Source organism: Homo sapiens, chromosome 16 (assembly GCF_000001405.40).
Source record: "Homo sapiens chromosome 16, GRCh38.p14 Primary Assembly".
Classification (NCBI taxonomy): Eukaryota; Metazoa; Chordata; class Mammalia; order Primates; family Hominidae; genus Homo; species Homo sapiens.
The window spans coordinates 32422994-32441750 of record NC_000016.10 but is presented as its reverse complement, the minus strand read 5'-3'; the positions used below and the strand labels follow the sequence as shown (position 1 = coordinate 32441750).

The 18757-nt window shown below is 36.7% G+C and overlaps 2 pseudogenes; one reads left to right on the top strand and one right to left on the bottom strand.

The window, feature by feature from the left end:
- PABPC1P13 (poly(A) binding protein cytoplasmic 1 pseudogene 13) lies at nt 1173–3114 on the top strand (annotated as a pseudogene).
- Nucleotides 5386–18757, bottom strand: part of SLC9B1P5 (solute carrier family 9 member B1 pseudogene 5) — a 48235-nt pseudogene continuing 34863 nt past the window's right edge.

Sequence of the window (18757 nt, the reverse complement as noted above, 5' to 3'; positions counted from 1 at the left end):
CTGAGAGTGTGGAGTGTGTTCTCCAGGATCAGCACATATTTATTATCTTGAAAAATCCATTCCCCCGAAAAACATCCCATGAAAAAAACTTAAAAAAAAAAAGGTTTCTGTTTTAACACCGGTCACCCCTGCAAAACACTTTACAAAAAAATCCTTGTCTTCACTGCCACAGACATTTTCCTTTTCTTCTTGTATAAGATTACCCGGTGAGGCAGCCGAGAGCGACCCCCCCGCCCCCTCGCAGCTCCGAAGCAGCTTCAAGAAGGAACAGGATCCCGAGGCCTGGACGCTGGACCCTACACCGCCACCCTCGTCCCAGCCCTCTGCGGGTCGCAGTTCCTCGGCCGTGGAGTAGTTTGGGATTCCAGGTGATTTTGTGTTTGTGCGCTGGCCCAGGCTTCCGCCCCAGCCCTTACTCTCCTTTCACGGAAAGGTCGCAGCCTGTGGCCCTACCGGCAGACAGGTGCAGAGGTGAGCCCAGCGTCCCAGCCATCCCCTGTCCTCGCACCGCACATGACCAGGCCTGCTGGCCGGTCCTCTCTATCCCGGGCTACAGGAACCAGATCACCGGCGCTCCTTGGGAAACGCAGGATGTGGAATGTGGTTAAGACCCCATGAATTTTGATGTTATAAAAGACTAGCCAATACACACTAAGTGGTCTCGGTGTGATCCATCACTCCGCAAAAATGGAGTGGGCAACATGTTCATAAAAAAATTGGACAAATCTATTGATTATAAAGCATTGCATGATATATCTGCTTTTGGTAACATCTTTTTGTTGCAGAAAAAACCAGGTTCTTGTCATACCACCAGGAAAAGGCACGCAAACACTTGAAGGGTGAGGGGGAACGGAGTTTATTGGGTGGAAAGGAAAAAGCAAAAATAACTCTCAGCAAAGAGAGAAAGAGTCCTGCTAGCAGGTTTCCCGCCTCATAGATTAAATCCTAGGTCACTACATGGGAACAGGCCAGACTCCTCTCCACTGCACACCGCACAAACTTCCCAAGGCTCCACCCCGTAATCCCAGTGCACAGGTGGGCATTATTCAGAATCAGTGAGGAAAGGGCGGCTTCAACCAGGACCTGCAGTCCAGTTTATCAGCCTTCAGGCTGTTTTAGTCTTGAAGGTGGTGTTTTACCAGAGGACCCTTGGCTGCCTCCTGTCTCTATCACTTTCACATTAGGTGCTTTGTGGTGAAAACAGTTTCAAGGGTGATGGCATTGTACATTTTGAGACACAGAAGCAGCTGAAAGATCTATTCAAAAATGAAATGGATGCTTCTAAATGATAGCAAAGTCTTTGTTGGATTAAGTCTTGTAAACAATGAGAAGCAGAACTCAGAGTTAAAAAGTTCACCAATGTTTACAGGAAGATTTTTGGAGAAGACATGGATGGTAGGTGCCTTAAAGATCTCTTTGGCAAGTTGGGATCTGTCTTAAGTGTGATAGTAGTGGTTAATGAAAGTGGAAAACCCAAAGGTTTTGGATTTGTCAGCTTTGAAAGGCATAAAGATGCGCAGATGAGATGAACAGAAAGAAGCTCAATGGAAAACAAATTGATGTTGGTCAAGCTCAGAAAAAAAGTAGAATGGCAGATGGAACTTGTGTGCAAATTTGAAAAGATCAAGCAGTATAGGATCACCAGATAACAAAGTGTTAACATTTATGCAAAAAATCTTGATGGTATTGATGAATGTCTCTGGAAAGAACTTTCTCCACTTGGTACAATCACCAATGCAAAGGTTATGAAGGATGGTTGTCACAACAAAGGGTTTGATTTGTGTATGTTTCTCCTCTCCAGAGGAAGCAACTAAAGGACTTTCAGAAATGAATGGTAGCATTGAGGGCACTGAGCCATTGTATATAGTGTTAACTCCATGGGAAGAAAAGCAATGAAGAGCACCAGGCTCAGCTCATTAACCAGTGCAGTATGTGCAAAGAATGGCAAGTGTAAAAACTATGCTCAACCTGGGAATCAGTTCCTATCAGCCAGCACCTTCTTCAATTGACTTCATGGCAGTTATCCCACAGACTGAGAGCCATGCTGCAAAGTATTCTCCTAGCCAAACTGCTCAACTAAGTTCAAATCCTCCCTAAATTGCTCAGGGTGCCAGACCTCATCCATTGAAAAATATGCCCAAGCCGCTCCTAGCTCACTACATTTAGTAGTAAGAGACCAGCTTCTTCATAGCTTCCATGAGTCATGTCAACACAGCTGTTGTAACCCATCGAAACAGACAATAGGAGCACATCCTGCAGTTGCCGCTACTGCTACTACAGATACTCCTGCTTTTTGTACCATTTCACAGTATAAATATGCTATGGAAGCTCACAATCCTCAATGGCATTTTCATGCACAGCCCCAGGTTACCTTGAAGCAGCCTGCTGTTCATGTAGAAGGTCAAGAACCTTTGACTTCCATGATGGCATCTGCTCCTCCTCAAAAGCAAAAGGAAACGAGTGAATGGCTGTTTCCTCTTCTTCAAGCCATGCCCTAGTCGTGCTGGTAAAATCATTGGTATGTTGTTGGAGATTGGTAATTTGGAACTCCTTCATATGCTTGAATCTCCAGAGCCTCTCTATACTAAGGTTGACAAAGGTATAGCTGTACTACAAGACCACCAAGCTAAAGAGGCTGCCCAGAAAGCAGTTAATGGTGCCACTGGTGTTCCAATTGTTTAAAACTGATCAGGGACCACAGAAAGAAACTTGAGCATCACTGAAGAAAAATATCTCAATATCAAAAACCTTAAATACTATGGAAAAAATTTGTAAAGTATAAAATAAATTTAAAAAGGAAACTTTGAACTTTACATACCAAGCAGATGTCAGATCTAACAAATGCAATGATAGTCCTAGATTACTTATTGATTTGAAAAGAAAAAATCCTCCCAAAATAATAAAATATAGAAACACTGTAATGCTTTTCAGACTCTGTGATAAATAATTTTCAGCAAAGTATAAAAATTTAAAGCATTCCTTTAATTTTGTAATTCATTAGTGTGGAATAGCTAAGAATGTCACTTCTGTTTTAAGTAACAGAATTGATAACTGAGCAAGGAAAGGTAATTTGGATTATAAAATTTTGCTTTAATAAAAATTCCTTAAACAGTGAAAAAATAGGCAAAGATACAAAAAAAGTTTATAAGAAACAACAATCTTGTATTTATTTGTTTTTTATTTTATTTTATTTTATTTTATTTTTTTGAGATGGAGTCTCACTCTGTCACCCAGGCTGGAGTGCAGTGGTGTGATCTTGGCTCACTGCAACCTCTGCCTCCCAGGTTCAAGTGATTCTTCTGCCTCAGCCTCCCGAGTAGCCGGGACTACAGACACCTACCACCATGCCTGGCTAGTTTTTTGTATTTTTAGTAGAGACAGAGTTTCACCATGTTAGCCAGGATGGTCTCCTTCTCCTGACCTCCTGATCCACCCGCCTTGGCCTCCCAAAGTGCTGGGATGGTGTGAGCCACTGTGCCCAGCCTTATTTGTTTAAATACTATAAACACTAATATCATACACATGGTTAACTGGTTGTAATTTTTAAATTATATTAATAAATTTTTATAAAAACTTTTTATAAATAAAAAACTTAAAATTTCAAATAAATAACAACATCTGCCACACTACCTTAAAACGGCGACTATTTCAGTATTATAAACATATATCACAGACACTTAGAGAAAGTTCAATAAATAAAGAATAAAAAGAAAAGGTACAACAATTTTCCTCCTAATCAAAAACACAATTCCTCATTTTGAAAATTATTTCTTATCTCTCTTTTATTAAAATAAACTTTCTACTTTGAAATCTAATCCTCTTGTGAATGTAAAATACTATCTTGTAAATATATATATATACACATATATTTTATTATTTTTTTTTTTTTGAGACAGAGTCTTGCTCTGTCTCCCAGGCTGGAGTGCAGTGGTGTGATCTCAGCTCACTGCAACCTCTGCCTCCTGGGTTCAAGCGATTCTCCTGCCTCAGCCGTCTGAGTAGCTGGGATTACAGGTGCATGCCACCACATCTGACAAATTTTTTGTATTTTTAGTAGAGACGGGCTTTCACTATGTTGGTCAGATTGGTCTCGAACTCCTGACCTCGTGATCTGCCCGCATTGGCCTCCCAAAGTGCTGGGATTACAGGCATGAGCCACAACACCCTGCCTATATTTTTATTTTTTTATAAGTGACAATGAGATGTCCTCATGATTTAAATAGTAGTCAAAACACTGGCACAGTTTAAATTTTTAGAATTTGAGTACTAGAATTACAATATTTGAAAATGGAGTCTGTACTTTGTTGTAAAACTATAAAGAGAAAATGTCACTAAAACAGTAGCTATTTTATCTTTTCCCAGAGTTATTCTCCCAGAGTGTATTTTCTAAGAGTTGTTTCCCAGACGGTTTTAGAACTTTTGGCAGTTTCGGTGATATATTCTGTAAAGGCCCTTAGTCTTAATAGGGATAACACATAGTTTTGATTGCCTTAAATTTTAATTGCTTCACTTGGCAAATGTATGTGTAAATTTCATATTCTGTGGTATTTTAATATCTTGCTTGTGAGAAGAGGAAAAAGAGGAATGAAAGTAATATTCAGTCCTTGCATTGAGCTTTTGCCAAAGAAGTCTAAAGAATTTCTAAAATGCCATTCAATAAGGCCATTTTAGAAGTGTTTATATGACTCTTATAACTTTAAAATAAAGAGTCTTGAAGTTAACTAAAACTCACTTTGCTTGTGATGGGTTCTACATTAACATGGCAGATTTAATCAGCCAGAATTAAAAGGTAATTTTATATTACTAAGGAGAAGAAACTGCCACATGACAGTAGTCTCCAAGTCTTTCATTTTTGGAGGCTGCCTTTTATGTCTAGATTTTAAAATACTAATTGAAAAAAATATAGTTTACTTCCATTTGTGATTTAATTTTATTTCTATAAATAAAAATATAGATAGTGTTTCAACTAAAAACCGCTAAACCAGACTTTCATTTTAAGGGCATGGCAGAAATAAGGAAAGACTAACTTGGTTCTATTACTTAACATATTATTTATTCAGGTAGTCACCAAAACCAGAATTTAAAATCTATTCGGTTAACCCATTTAAAGTTGATGTGTTTTACTCCCTTTTTTTTCTTTTTGTAGTGATCTTTTTAACTGAATTACTGGATATCATAGGGAGTTCTACTCCTCCTATTTGGAAACTTAGGCTATCTTACCAAGTTCAACATTCAGTTTTTCTTTCTGCCGTTAAGTTTGTTTAATTTTATATTAAGCTCAGTTTGCATTATGATATCAAATTCAGCCTGAGGGATTACTTTAAACTTTCCTAGGGTATTTACAGATTTAATTTGTTCTTACAGTATGTAAATACCAAGACAGCATTCCATTTAATATTATTTTTATTAAATTAACTTTGGAGTAAAAAGTCCAAGAAAAGCCCTGTACCGAAATCCTGGATTTTCTACATATTTCTACTTTAAAATTCTTCTGTCATGTGAAATAATTCATTAAAAGAAGTAGGCAGATGATGACAGGTAAACTTTTTAATGATGTTCTAATGCTGGCAATTGCAGTATTATTTTGCTTGGATCATAATGGCGTGTGAGCATTTTAAGCCCCAGAATGCCCATAAGTAGAGCTCCATTTGGAGCTGTGATCAAGATGGCTAAAAATGCTACTGTCATCACATCCTTTGCATATGGTTCCAAGTGGGGTGCGGAGACTGTTGCTGTTTCTAGAGCCAGAGGACCTAACACAGCCTACATTTAGGGGTAAAAATGGGGCATAAAGAAAAATATTAAACTGAGTTAATATATAATGTAAATGGCTCTGTTAAAATAAACAAAATCTAGTACTAGACTATTAGAAAAAAAAAGTACTCAGTAATTTTCATAAGTTACTCATCAGTTCCATGTTCTTCCTAGCAAATATATGTGGAGGAAGAGTACAATAGTGACAAATCAGCATGCAAACATTTTTCGGCTGATTTTGCACTCTTGTCCTCTCAGTGTTCCTCTATTCAAATATCTCTTTTGAGTGTTGCCCTCATAACACCAGGAGTTCTAACGAAACTGGTTTTGCTTAGTTGCCTTTATCGTGTACCAGTGGATTTTGACTACAAGAAGACAAAATAAAATATTAAGTTTTCTTCTGGTTCTCTAGGATTTGTTGCCCTTCTTCTCATTGTTGTCCTTATTCAGGGGGCACTGGGTTATAGCAGAACTGACAGCAGGCTTGGAATCTAGCAAACTGGGTTTGAATTCTATTTTTGCTTCAACCAGGCTAGTGACCTTGTACAAATGACTCACACTCTCTAACCTTCTACTTACTTACGTGTAAAACGAAGAACAAAATACTTATCTTACTGGACGGTTGTGAAAATTAAATATTAGGATGTGAAGAATACCTGGCACAGAGTAGGTATTCAGATAGTAGTAAGTTTCTTTCTCCTTCACTCCTCATCCCCTGCCAGGTCAGAGATTGAGTTCCTTTGAAGTTTTTGTTTTAGAATGACTCTACTGGGTCACAGGTTTTTTTCCCTAGTTACCTTCTACCACATTATTTTTAATAACATAAAGCAAATTTCTTGCTAACTCTCTTTCCTTGTGTTTAATAACTAGGCATGAAATTGCCTTAAAATTTGGGGGAATTAAATACCAATATATAACATATTTTCGATGGAGTTGCAAAGTAACAACATAATAGTAGAAACATTACCTCTGATATGGAACATTATGGCAAAAGAACCCCTCAATTTAAGATCAATTTCTATATCCTAAATCAATAATTTAAAATGGTATTATTTTTATATCATAACTTTCAATGTACTGAACATGATCCAGTATGCTGGAGGATGCTAGGGAGAAAAAAATAATCATGCAGAAAACCACCTTGAAAGAATCTTACAGTTTAGAAGAGGATTTGAACATAAAAGAACTGCCAACAGAAAAAACAAAAACAAAAACCAAACCCATTGACTTTTAAGAGATGATGACGATAATGGTGAAACTAGAAATAATATTTTTATAGTTATATGGCATTCATCATATGTCAGGTATCATTCTTAAAGCTTTCCATTTATCAATTCATTTAATTCTTATGACAACCTTATTATGTGAGGACTTTTATTAGATGATAAATGATTTCCTCCTAGTGACTGAGATTTAATATTATTTCTTTTAAAAAATCCAATTGCCAAGCTGATCTTACATTTGTAAATTAAATTATTTATTTACTCTCCTAATAGCTTCTATTTTTCCAGTCTAATTTTTATCAGTAACTCAAAACTAAGGAACAAGAGAAAGATGATCCTTAGCCAATTTTATTTTAGCAGCAGAGAACGGCGGAAGAGGATAAAGGTGAAAATAATTTAAAATTGAAATTTAAATATTTGTTGATCGTATTTACTTGTGACATTATTGTTATCTATTATTGCTGTTGTGACTCTACTTGTATAAATAATTAATTTTTTATGTCTTGCCAGTTCCTGGAACCAGCCTGATATTCTTTTTGTAGAAGCTAGCCTGGAGCCAGCAGACAGGAATAGGCAGAAGCAGAATAATACTGCAGGACTCGAGTGAGTGGTCTCTTTCCTCATACCAGCTTTTCTTTTTTCCCTGCTTTATGAAAATTATGAAATAATGAAACAAAATTGCAAGAGTATTGTTGGAAGGAGAGAGAACAGATACTCCTTTTGCAGATTTATTATTCCCTAGAGTAGACATTAAAAATAAAAAGTTATTATTTATATTTCTTGAAGGTAAGATAAAATAACAGCATTGTTTTTTAACTGAGCACCACCATATGCCAGAGAGAGTGCTAAGCACTTTACATGGATTATCTCATTGAATCCTGACAACACTGCTAAGAAACAGATACAGTCATAGACTTCATTGTAAGATGAGAACACTGAAGGACTGAGAGACTAGAAAATAATTTTCCTGAGGTTATAGGCAAGTAACATGGTATTCAAAACAGGTAGTCTGGCCCTATGAACCTGCTTTTCTAACATGATAATAGAGGTTTTTTTGCATGAAAATTTAGGAGCTTCTGTTTTGGAATAACAACTAAGAAAAGAGTCACAGGAAATTAAGGTATATTATGCTGCCAAGTTAAACAGTCTAACAAGAAGTAGCAATATATTTTAGTAGGAGGAGAATATCCTTGAATAACAGGGCAAAATTACAAGGTTTCCCTTTCCGTTCATTCATCCTTGCAGGCATGCAATACGTATTTGCCTCCTGCATGTCAGGCACTGTGTTAAGTGCCAGGGAGAAATAATGAAAAACAACGGCAACAACCAGACACTGTCCCTGTCCTTACGTAGTCTATCAAGGGGGCGGGGGCAGGGATTTAGCCATTAACCAAATAGTATACAAATAAATGTGTAATTAAAAAAATATATGTGCATTTGTGTGATGGAGTGAGTGGCAAGGTAGGAAAAGTATTTTTTAAAAAAATCAATGTGTCTCTATTTTACTTTACTTTTTTTTGTGACAGGGTCTCACTTTGTCACCCAAGCTGGAGTGAAATGGCGTGACCTCAGCTCACTGCAGCCTCAACCTCCTGAGTTCAAGCAATCCTCCTTCCTCAGCCCCCAAGTAGCTGTGACTACAGGTGCGTGCCACCACACCTGACTAATTTTTTTGTATTTTTTGTAGAGACGGGGGTTTTACCATGTTGCCCAGGCTGGTCTTGAACTCCTGAGCTCAAGTGATCTGCCTGCCTCAGCCTCCCGAAGTGCTAGGATTACAGGCATGAGCCACCATGCCTGGCCTGTGTCTCTACTTTTTAAAATCATAACATTTAGCTTTGTTATATTCAGCAAAATATAAAAACTCCAATTTTCAGATATATTCTTATTATATATTTTAGGAAAATAAAAAACATATTTTCATAAACTTAGGAAGTACTTATTGAAAGAATACTTTTTGATTTCAAAATAATTGCTTTTAAAACTGAGATTTCAAAAGGTTACATTGGCTGGGCCCAGTGGGTTATGCTTGTAATCCCAGAACTTTAGGAGGCTGAGGCAGGAAGATCACTTGAACCTAGGAGTTCAAGATCAGCCTGGGCAACATAGCAAGACCTCCTCTTTACAAAAAAATCAGAAAGAAAAGGCCAGGTGCAGTGGCTCATGCCTGTAATCCCAGCACTTTGGGAGGCTGAGGTGGGCAGATCACTTGACGTCAGGAGTTTGAGACTAGCCTGGCCAACATGATGAGACCCCATATCTACTAAAAATACAAAAATTAGCTGGGTGTGGTGGTGTGCACCTGTAATCCCAGCTACTGAGGAGGCTGAGGCAGGAGAATCGCTTGAACCTGGGAGGTGGAGGTTGCATTGAGCTGAGATCATGCCACTGCACTCCAGCCTGGGCAACAGAGTAAGACTGTCTCAAAAAAAAAAAAAAAATCTGAAAAAAAGCAGTTGGGTATGGTGGCAGGTGACTGTGATCCTAGCTACTCAGGAGGCTGATGTGAGAGGATTGTTTGAGCCCAGGAGGTTGAGGCTGCAGTGAGCCGTGATCATGCCACTGCACTACAGTTTGGGTGACAGAGTGAGACCTGGTCTCAAAATGAAAATAAAAATAAAAATAGAAAAAGGTTACATTGAGTTTCTTTGTTTGTTTTTGTTTATTTATTTATTTTTTTGAGATTGAATCTTGCTCTGTCACCCAGACTGGAGTACAGTGGTGCCATCTCAGCTTACTGCAACCTCCGCCTCCTGGGTTCAAGTGATTCTCCCATCTCAGCCTCCTGAGTAGCTGGGACTGGTTACGTTAATTTTAATGAATAGTTATGATCAATCAAACATTTAAAAAGTAAGGACAATAGCTCATATTTTGTGATTGGAGTAACATTTTTCATTTTAAATTTTAAAAGCATCAAAACAAAAGCATTAAGCAATAGGCTTAATATGTTCTTACCTGTACTGTAGCTTTGGGCATCCATGCTAAAGCAATAAATATTTTCTCCTTAAAACTAAAACCAGCAAAGCACATCAATAGATATGTGGTTAAAATTCGAACACATAATGCCAAACTCAAGAGTGGCAACAGATATGCCTACAACAGATGAAAACAAACATAAATAACAAAATATTTGTGAAGAAGTGTTCTTTATGCCCAGGAATATGATTTCTAAAACTTTCGAAAGCATTTTAAGGCTATTGTCTCTTCATGTGTTTAATTTTTACATAAAATAATGATAATAAAAAATGAATATGATGGAGGATTCTCTGTAAAGTGCAAGACAGTATCTGATGGTGGAGGTTCCATGAAAAATAAGACAGATGACATTTATACAATTCTGAACTAATAGACTTTTTTTGAATACTTTTATTATTATTAATAATAATTTACTTTTTGAGAAGGATTCTTGCTCTGTCGCCCAGGCTGGAGTGCAGTGGTACAATCTCAGCTCACTGCAACTTCCGACTCCCGGGTTCACGTGATTCTCCTGCCTCAGCCTCCTGAGTAGCTGGGATTATAGGCGCGCACTACCACACCTGGCTAATTTTTGTATTTCTAGGAGAGATGGGGTTCCCCATGTTAGCCAGGCAGGTCTTGAACTCCTAACTTCAAGAAGTGTGCCCGCTTCGGCCTCCCAAAGTGCTAAGTTTACAGGCATGAGCCACCATACCCAGCCAATAGTTTTAAATGAAAGTACTCAAAAAGTGCTGATCGTATCAAATATGTTCCCTCAGGAAAGAAATCTTATATTTATTTCCTTAGATAACTCAGGGAAGATATTCAGGGCTGTCCCTGGTTTAAAAAAGAAAGAGCACACAGTGTAAAGGAAGAGCAATATGAAAATATGACACTGTATCAACATGTGTTTCTGAAGAAGGTCCTTGTAGCCATTCAAAGATATATTGTAAATAAAAATAAATGCATTTATAATTTTCTTAAATATTTTTGAATTTCATATTTTTTGTGCTCTATTTATTCTTACCAACAATATTTGATTCAAGCGATGAAACAGATACTTCTGCTCCAACTAAACCAAAAAGAAGTGGTTGAAAAATATCCCATACATTTGTAATAATCTTTTGGACTTTCATCTATAGAAAAGAGAAATACATTTATAATTATTTTGGCACATAAATATATTTCAGAAAGTTAAGTTCTCCCTCACCTTTTTTTTTTTCACTTTTTAAGTATTTTAGAGATGGGGTCTTGTTCTGTTGCCCAGGCTGGAGTGTAGTGGCATAATCTTAGCTCACTGTAGCCTTGAACTCCTGGGCTCAAGTGATCCTCTCGCAGTCTCCCAAGTAGAACTACAGGTGTGTACCTCCATGCTGGGCTAATTTTTAAATTGTTTATAGAGACGGGGTCTCGCTATATTGCCCAGGATGGTCTAGAACTCCTGTCTTCAAGTGGACTCTGGCTGTGGCCTCCCAAAGCACTGGCATTATAGGCATGAGCCACCATGCCTGGCCTAAAGTCACTTAACATTTAATAAATTTAATACACTTTATTTTAATAAAAATGTTAAACTTAATTAATAAAAACTGAGCACTTCAATAGTTTTACTTAAACACTTAGGTAGAATTTGATTAAAAGAAACTTACAAAGCAATAAAACAATACTATTTGGCCATTTTGTCACAGAATAAGTGATGTCCTTAGGGTTCTAGCCATGTTTCGTATGAGTTCCAGATTTTGTCTCTAAGTTAACTGAACAGAGATAGAACTACCTCATGCCTGATGAGAACATACCCAGTTCATGCAAACATTTGGGATCTCAGAAGGAGGTTGGGAAGCCTTCCACTAACAACCATCCTGGAACTCAATCCCATTAAAGTGAATCCTGATATATATAGCATATACTACTAGGAAAAACAATTTGGAAGTCTACTAGGCCTGCTTCCAAAGAACCCGTGTTGAATACTTTAAAGTTACTTTTTCCTCAAAACAAAAGAAAACATATATTAGATTCTCATTTAGCTGCCTATCCGGCTTCCCTTTCTGAAAACGAATGCCTCCCAGTACTACTTCCCCAATTAAAAGGTTACAGGAAAGGCCCCCTATTGGCCTACATTACTCTGGCTCTTCTCCAGGAATTTGGATGAAGAGATTTCAGTCTCAGTCTGGGTTTAATTTTTTTTTTAAACAGAAGATACATAAGAACTTTGATGTCTCTTCCTTGAGGCATAAACTATCTTTATAACTATTTCCCTTATGACTGTGTTTTCTGATCCCCACTTATTATAGTTTAAAAAAAGAAAAACAAAGAAAAACGATGTTACTACTCTTTACAGCATAATTATCCTGTTTGTTACTTTTAATCTTTAAAACTTGTTTTAGTTCTGTGTCTTTTACCATTTAAAAAAATTCTAGCAGTTTTAATTTTATTTATTGATTTGCATTTCATTCATTTCTTTTATAATTATGATTATATAAGAATACTAAGCAAAATGCCACTATGATTTTTGATTAGGGAATTTCTCAAGCTGATTCTAAAATTTATCTAAGAAAGAATATGTGTAGGAACAGCCAAAAAATACTTTAAAAAGAAGTAAAATCTATATTAGATTTTGACACATAAAAGTGCAGTGATTTAAAACAGTGGTGTTGGCATAGAAATAGAGAAGTAGGATTAAATAGACTTCAGAATTAATATATATGGGAGAATTTAGTTCATGTTAAAAAACTGAATTATTAATGAATTGGTCAATAAATAAACAATTTGGCAAAAAATGACTGTCTAGATTATGTGCATATATATGTATGTACATATTCATCACATGCAAGTATATATGTGTGTCTGAATATGTATGTATATTTATGTGTGTGTGTGTATATATATATATATCTATACACACACACACATCAGGCATGATGTAGTTCTATCTCTGTTCAGTTAACTTACAAACTGTATGTGTGTGTGTGTGTATATATATATAGTTTGTAAGATACACATATGTATATATGTATAACCTTACCTCACAGAATTCACAAAGATAAATTCCAGATAGATTAAAAGACTAAATGAAAGAACAAATTAATCAAACAAAAACTACCAAAATATTAAATGATAATACACAAAATAGTATATCTTTGTAATGTTTATATGTTATAATCTTCAGTGAGAAAGTCCTTCTTAAATGAGATGCAGAATCCAAAATCAAAAATGGAAAACCCAATAGGTTTGGTCATAGGAAATTTTACTTTCATACACCAGACACCATAAACAAAGTTGAAGATAAGCAAAAAATATATGCAATATATACATAACAAAGGATCAGTAGCCCTAACACTAAGAGAAACTATAAATTAGAAACAAAAAAATAAATAACCCAATAAAAATGGTCAAAGAAGATCATAGGTATTTTAAAAAGAATATATGAAGAGAAGCTTACTATACTACTAATCAGAGAAATGTAAATAAAGAATAACAACACCACATAATTGTAAGAAACTATAAGAATTGGATGGTGAGGTCATTTAATAGTAAAAAGAATAGAACTAGTGATAATATCAAGTGCTGTTGATGAGTTAAGGTATTAGATATTGTTGTGCACTGTTGGCAGAGTGTAAATAACCAAAATTTTTGAAGGGATAATTTAGCAGTGTCCATCAAAATAAAACACAGATCATTTCCAGCCAGGTGTGGTAGCTCATGCTTGTAATCCTAGCACTTTGCAATGTCAAGTTGGGAGGATTCCTTGAGCTCAGGATTTTGAGACCAGCCTGGGCAACATAGATAGAGACTCTGTCTCAAAAAAAAAAATCATTTCTAGGACTCTATTCCTACAGATGTACCTGTAATCCCAACACTTTGGGAGGCCGAGGCAGGAGTATCACCTGAGGTCAGGAGTTCAAGACCTGCCTGGCCAACATGGTGAAATCCCGTCTCTACTAAAAATACAAAAATTTGCTGGGCGTGGTGGTGCGTGCCTGTAATCCCAGCTAGTAGGGAGGCTGAAATAGAAGAATCACTTGAATCCAGGAGGTGGAGGTTGCAGTGAGCCAAGGTTATGCTACTGCAGTCCAGCCTGGGTGACAAGAGTGAAACTGTGTCTCAAAAAAAAAAAAGACATGAACAACACTGTTTATGACAGCACTGTTTGTAAATAACAAAAAGTGGAAACGATCTTAATGTCTACAAATAGAATACTGGTTACTTAAAAAAATGTAAAGGGGTTCGATATTTGACAGTGGTGGGGAATAAAGAAATCTTTTACATTTTATTCTATATGTTTTATTCTTTTACAAGCATTTCTATTTTTATTATTTGTTTGTTTATTATTATTTTGTGTGTGTGTGATGGAGTTTTGCACTTGTTGCCCAGGCTGGAGTGCAATGGCATGATCTCAGCTCACTGCAGCCTCCGCCTCCTGGGTTCAAGCAATGCTCCTGCCTCAGCCTCCTGAGTAGCTGGAATTATAGGTGCCCACCACCACGCCACCATGCCCAGCTAATTTTTGTATTTTTAGTAGAGATGGGGTTTCACTATGTTGGCCACGCTGGTCTCAAACTCCTGACCCCAGGTGATCTGTCCACCTCGACCTCCCAAAGTTCTGGGATTACAGGCATGAGCCACCGTGCCTGGCCTTTTACAAACATTCTTCATGGATTAATTGTATAATTAAAATTTCAATGAATAAAATAATTAGATTGATATAAGTAATATAATAATATTATATAAAACTTGGGAAAAAGAGAAACCTGATGTGATTAACGCAACTTCTGATTCCATATTAGTATATATCCAGCTGCTTTTCCTAAATATTTTATTTCCTCAATTGATTCATACACTTTCTTGAGGATAGCAAATCTTTTGGAATATTTTCCAACCAGAATGAGGGGATTTCCTAAATATATGTAAAAAATTCAGTTGTCTTAGCTTTTAAAATATAGCATATTAAAAATATTCACCTTTTCTTGGGACCATTTTGTCCCTGCAATGAAACTCAACACTAGTGTGCATAATCCTCCAGATCCATGTAAACCAATACGTTGGCTGCCTAAGACAGCAGAAACACACGTAGTCAAAACAAGGAATCCTCTCTTCAATGTAAGTTTTTTCTAGAATTAGATAGATATTTAGAAATTAGTTTATATTAAATATATAATACAAGATTTGACATTATCTATTATATATGTTTGACCTTTTGATATTATGTCTTTAAATGTTATATTAAATGTCTAAAATTTTGATTTTCTTTCTCACCATACATTTTAGTAGACTTACTACCAAGTAACAAAATTTCCAATTAGTAACGTTTCATCTTCTGCCACATCTCTGATACTAGTATCAGTAAAATGGTTTAAGTATTACTTTAAGTGAAGAAGAAAAGAGACCCATAAAATCTCCAGTTTCATATAACATATCCAATGAATTCTTAAAAAATATTTGAATTACTCTTTGGTCAATATGTTACAGCTAAATTTGGATGGAAATTACAGAAATACAAAAGTAATGTCATGTTTTCCTTTAAGGCAGGAAATGGCTAAGTTTGAGTGTTGCCTTTGTCAAAGGATAGCAGGAGTGAATTTCAGTCAGAAAATATGCAGAAATAAATGGGAACCTATCTCCCCCTAAAATGTTTAAGGGGAAATTATCAAACATCAATAGGCAATTTAGTAGAGAAAGGGAAAGTATAATTCAGAGGGATACTCTGCATCAAGTATATTTTTTGACATTCCTTATTTGCCAAATCAGGAAGCAGAGACTTTAATCAAAGCCATTGACCTGTATCAATCACTGCTGTGCTCAGTTTTAAATACAGAGTAGGCATTGGAGGCTAGTTTTAGAAAAATAGAGTTAAGTATTAAATTTCATGGATCTTACCAAAGTTTAATATTTTGAAAAAAATGTCTAATACTATACTTCTATAAAATAGATTTTGTATTTACTTGGTCTTCACTTGGAAAATATCGAACAAAAAATCCCAAAACAATTCCTGCCAGCAGACTAATGCATACGTTCCTTATAGAGACTATGGCATTATTAAGCATACCACCTGTAGGGGCACACAATAAAAAAAAATTCACAAAGAAATATTTTCACATACACTACACATCAGAAAAGCAAATCTAGGTGGTTCATGAAGAAAAGTAAGCATTTGATAGAACAAATATGTGCAAATGGTCTTTTTATAGTGACATGTATGAAAACACATAGATCTATTTAGTACATTAACTATATACTCTCAAATAATTTAATATATACACACAACTCAGAAATGTTCATTATATAAATAGGCCAGAAAACAAAGACTTAACAAGCACAAGATGCTCCCCTTACATAGCCAATTTAAAAGACAGATTGAGGTAGTCCAGGCGCAGTGGTTCATGTCTGTAATCCCAGCGCTTTGGGAGGCTGAGGAGGGTGGATTACATGAGGTCAGGAGTTCAAGACCAGCCTGGCCAACATAATGAAACCCCATCTCTACTAAAAATACAAAAATTAGGTCGGCATGGTGGCACACAACTGTGGTCCCAGGTACTCAGGAGGCTGAGGGAGGAGAATCACTTGAACCCGGGAGGCAGAGGTTGCAGTGAGCTGAGATTTTGCCACCACACTCCAGCCTGGGTGAAAGACTGAGGCTACACCTCCAAAAGAAAAAAAAAAAGACTAAGTGAGGTACAAGAATGGAGAGAGACCGAAACACTTGTGGCACTTAGCATATGGCTGGTAAGGGCTATATTAACAATTCTTCTTTGACGTACTATATGAAAAAAAACAAATGATTTTAACATGAAAAGAACAATGTAATAACAACATAAAAAATTTTGTTCCAGGGTCAGTCCTAGAAACATTCAAGGGTCATTTAAGATTTCAGTGTATTTAAGTTTCTGCTTTTGGTGAAGAAAAAAGAAAAAAAAATACAAAATATTCCAGTATATTTTATATTAATTAATATTAATATATCCATACTTGTAGTTCATTGTAATAAGTAAAAAGCAAAAAATAAAAAAACAGAATGAGTCACACAAATAGTTCAGTTAAGCTCTGGGTAGTGGATTCAATATAGTACGTAAGTATATTTTTAGATATATTTTCTACTAAATATAACAGGCAGTACATGGTGGGCTCACACCTTTAATCCTAGCACTTTGGGAGGCCAAGGCAGAAGGATTGCTTGAGCCCAAGAGTTGAGACCAACTTGGGCAACAGAGTGAAACCCCATCTTCACAAGAAAATAAGAAATTAGCCTGGTATGTGGTGTGTGCCTATAGTCCAAGTACTCAGTAGCCTGAGGGAGGAGGTCCCTTGAGATCAGGAGTTCGAGGCTGCACTCTAGCCTGGCTGACAGAGCAAGATCCTGTCTCAAGAAAATAAAATATAATAAAAATAAAAAATAATATAAACAGAGTGATGTCAGCCAGATGGTGGAATGGGAAGCTCCAAACCTTGATTCTCCATAAAGATACCAACTGAAAAACAATATATGGTCTAAAAGCCTTTATGGAGTTCCATAAACCATTAAGAAGTTGTAGTAGTACAGACAAGTGCAAAGCCAAGAATAGTGGCATTGAACAGATAAGAAAAGCTGTTGCATTATACTGATGATACCCCTTCCCCAAGCTCGAACAGGTTGGTTTGGCTGGGAAGCACTCAACTTGCAGCTTCTCCGTTAGCAGGGAAAGAGAAGACTGAAACGGAATAGTTTTATGAGGTTACCTGAAGCTCTCTCACTCTCTCTAACTTGACGCCCAACTGGCATACTTTGGATGCATGGGAGCCACTGGGAATAAAGGAGAGGTCAGAGATGATGCAGCACCAGGGAACCTGCAGTACCACAGACAGATACCAGAAGGAGCAACAGCTCCAGAAAAAGAAACTGGCAAACCTCTACTTGGGATGTTGCAATGTATAAACCCAAAGAAGATGCATTCCCAGAAAGAGTTTGAGAGGCTGCTGGAACCTATAGCCATGCTGATTCAGGTATGAAGGTCTTCCGTATGAAGCCAGCTGATAAAAACTGGGAGAAGTGGCAGTTTTTTCAAACGCCCAAATATTGGCAAAAATAAATAAAAAATAAAAAATAACAAGACATAAGAAGAAAGAGAGAAACCTGATGACTAAATTAAAGGAGCAAAATAAATCTCCAGAAACCAACCCTAAAGAAATAGGTAAATGAGTTACCTGACAAAGAATCCAAATTAACTCTCTTAATGAAGCCCAGTGACAACAGAAATAGACAACTAAGTGAAAGCAGGAAATAATTCATGAACAAAATGAAAATATTAACAGAGATAGAAACTAAAAAAACAAAAAGGAACCATACAGAAACTCTGGAGCTAAGGAATACAATAGCTCAATTGAAAAATTCACTATCGGAAATCACCAATAGACTGTGTAACTGCCCAATGGGTTCACCTCGTGCCCTGCTTAGACAGAGCTGATTTATCAAGACAGGGGAATTGCAATGGAGAAAGAGTAATTCAGGCAGAGCTGGCTGTGCGGGAGATCAGAGTTTTATTATTACTCAAATCAGTCTCCCTGAGCATTCGGGGATCAGAACTTTTAAAGATAATTTGGCAGGTAGGGGCTTGGGAAGTGGGAACTGCTTATTCATCAGGTTGGAGATGAAATCATACGGGGTTGAAGTGATGACGTTTTCTTGCTGTCTTCTGTTTGTGGGTGGGGTGGCAGAACCAGTTGAGCCATATTACCAGTCTGGGTGGTGTCAGCTGATTCATCCAGTGCAGGGTCTGCAAAATATCTCAAGCACTGATTTTAGGTTTTACAATAGTGATGTTATCCCCAGGAGCAATTTGGAGAGGTTCAGACTCTTG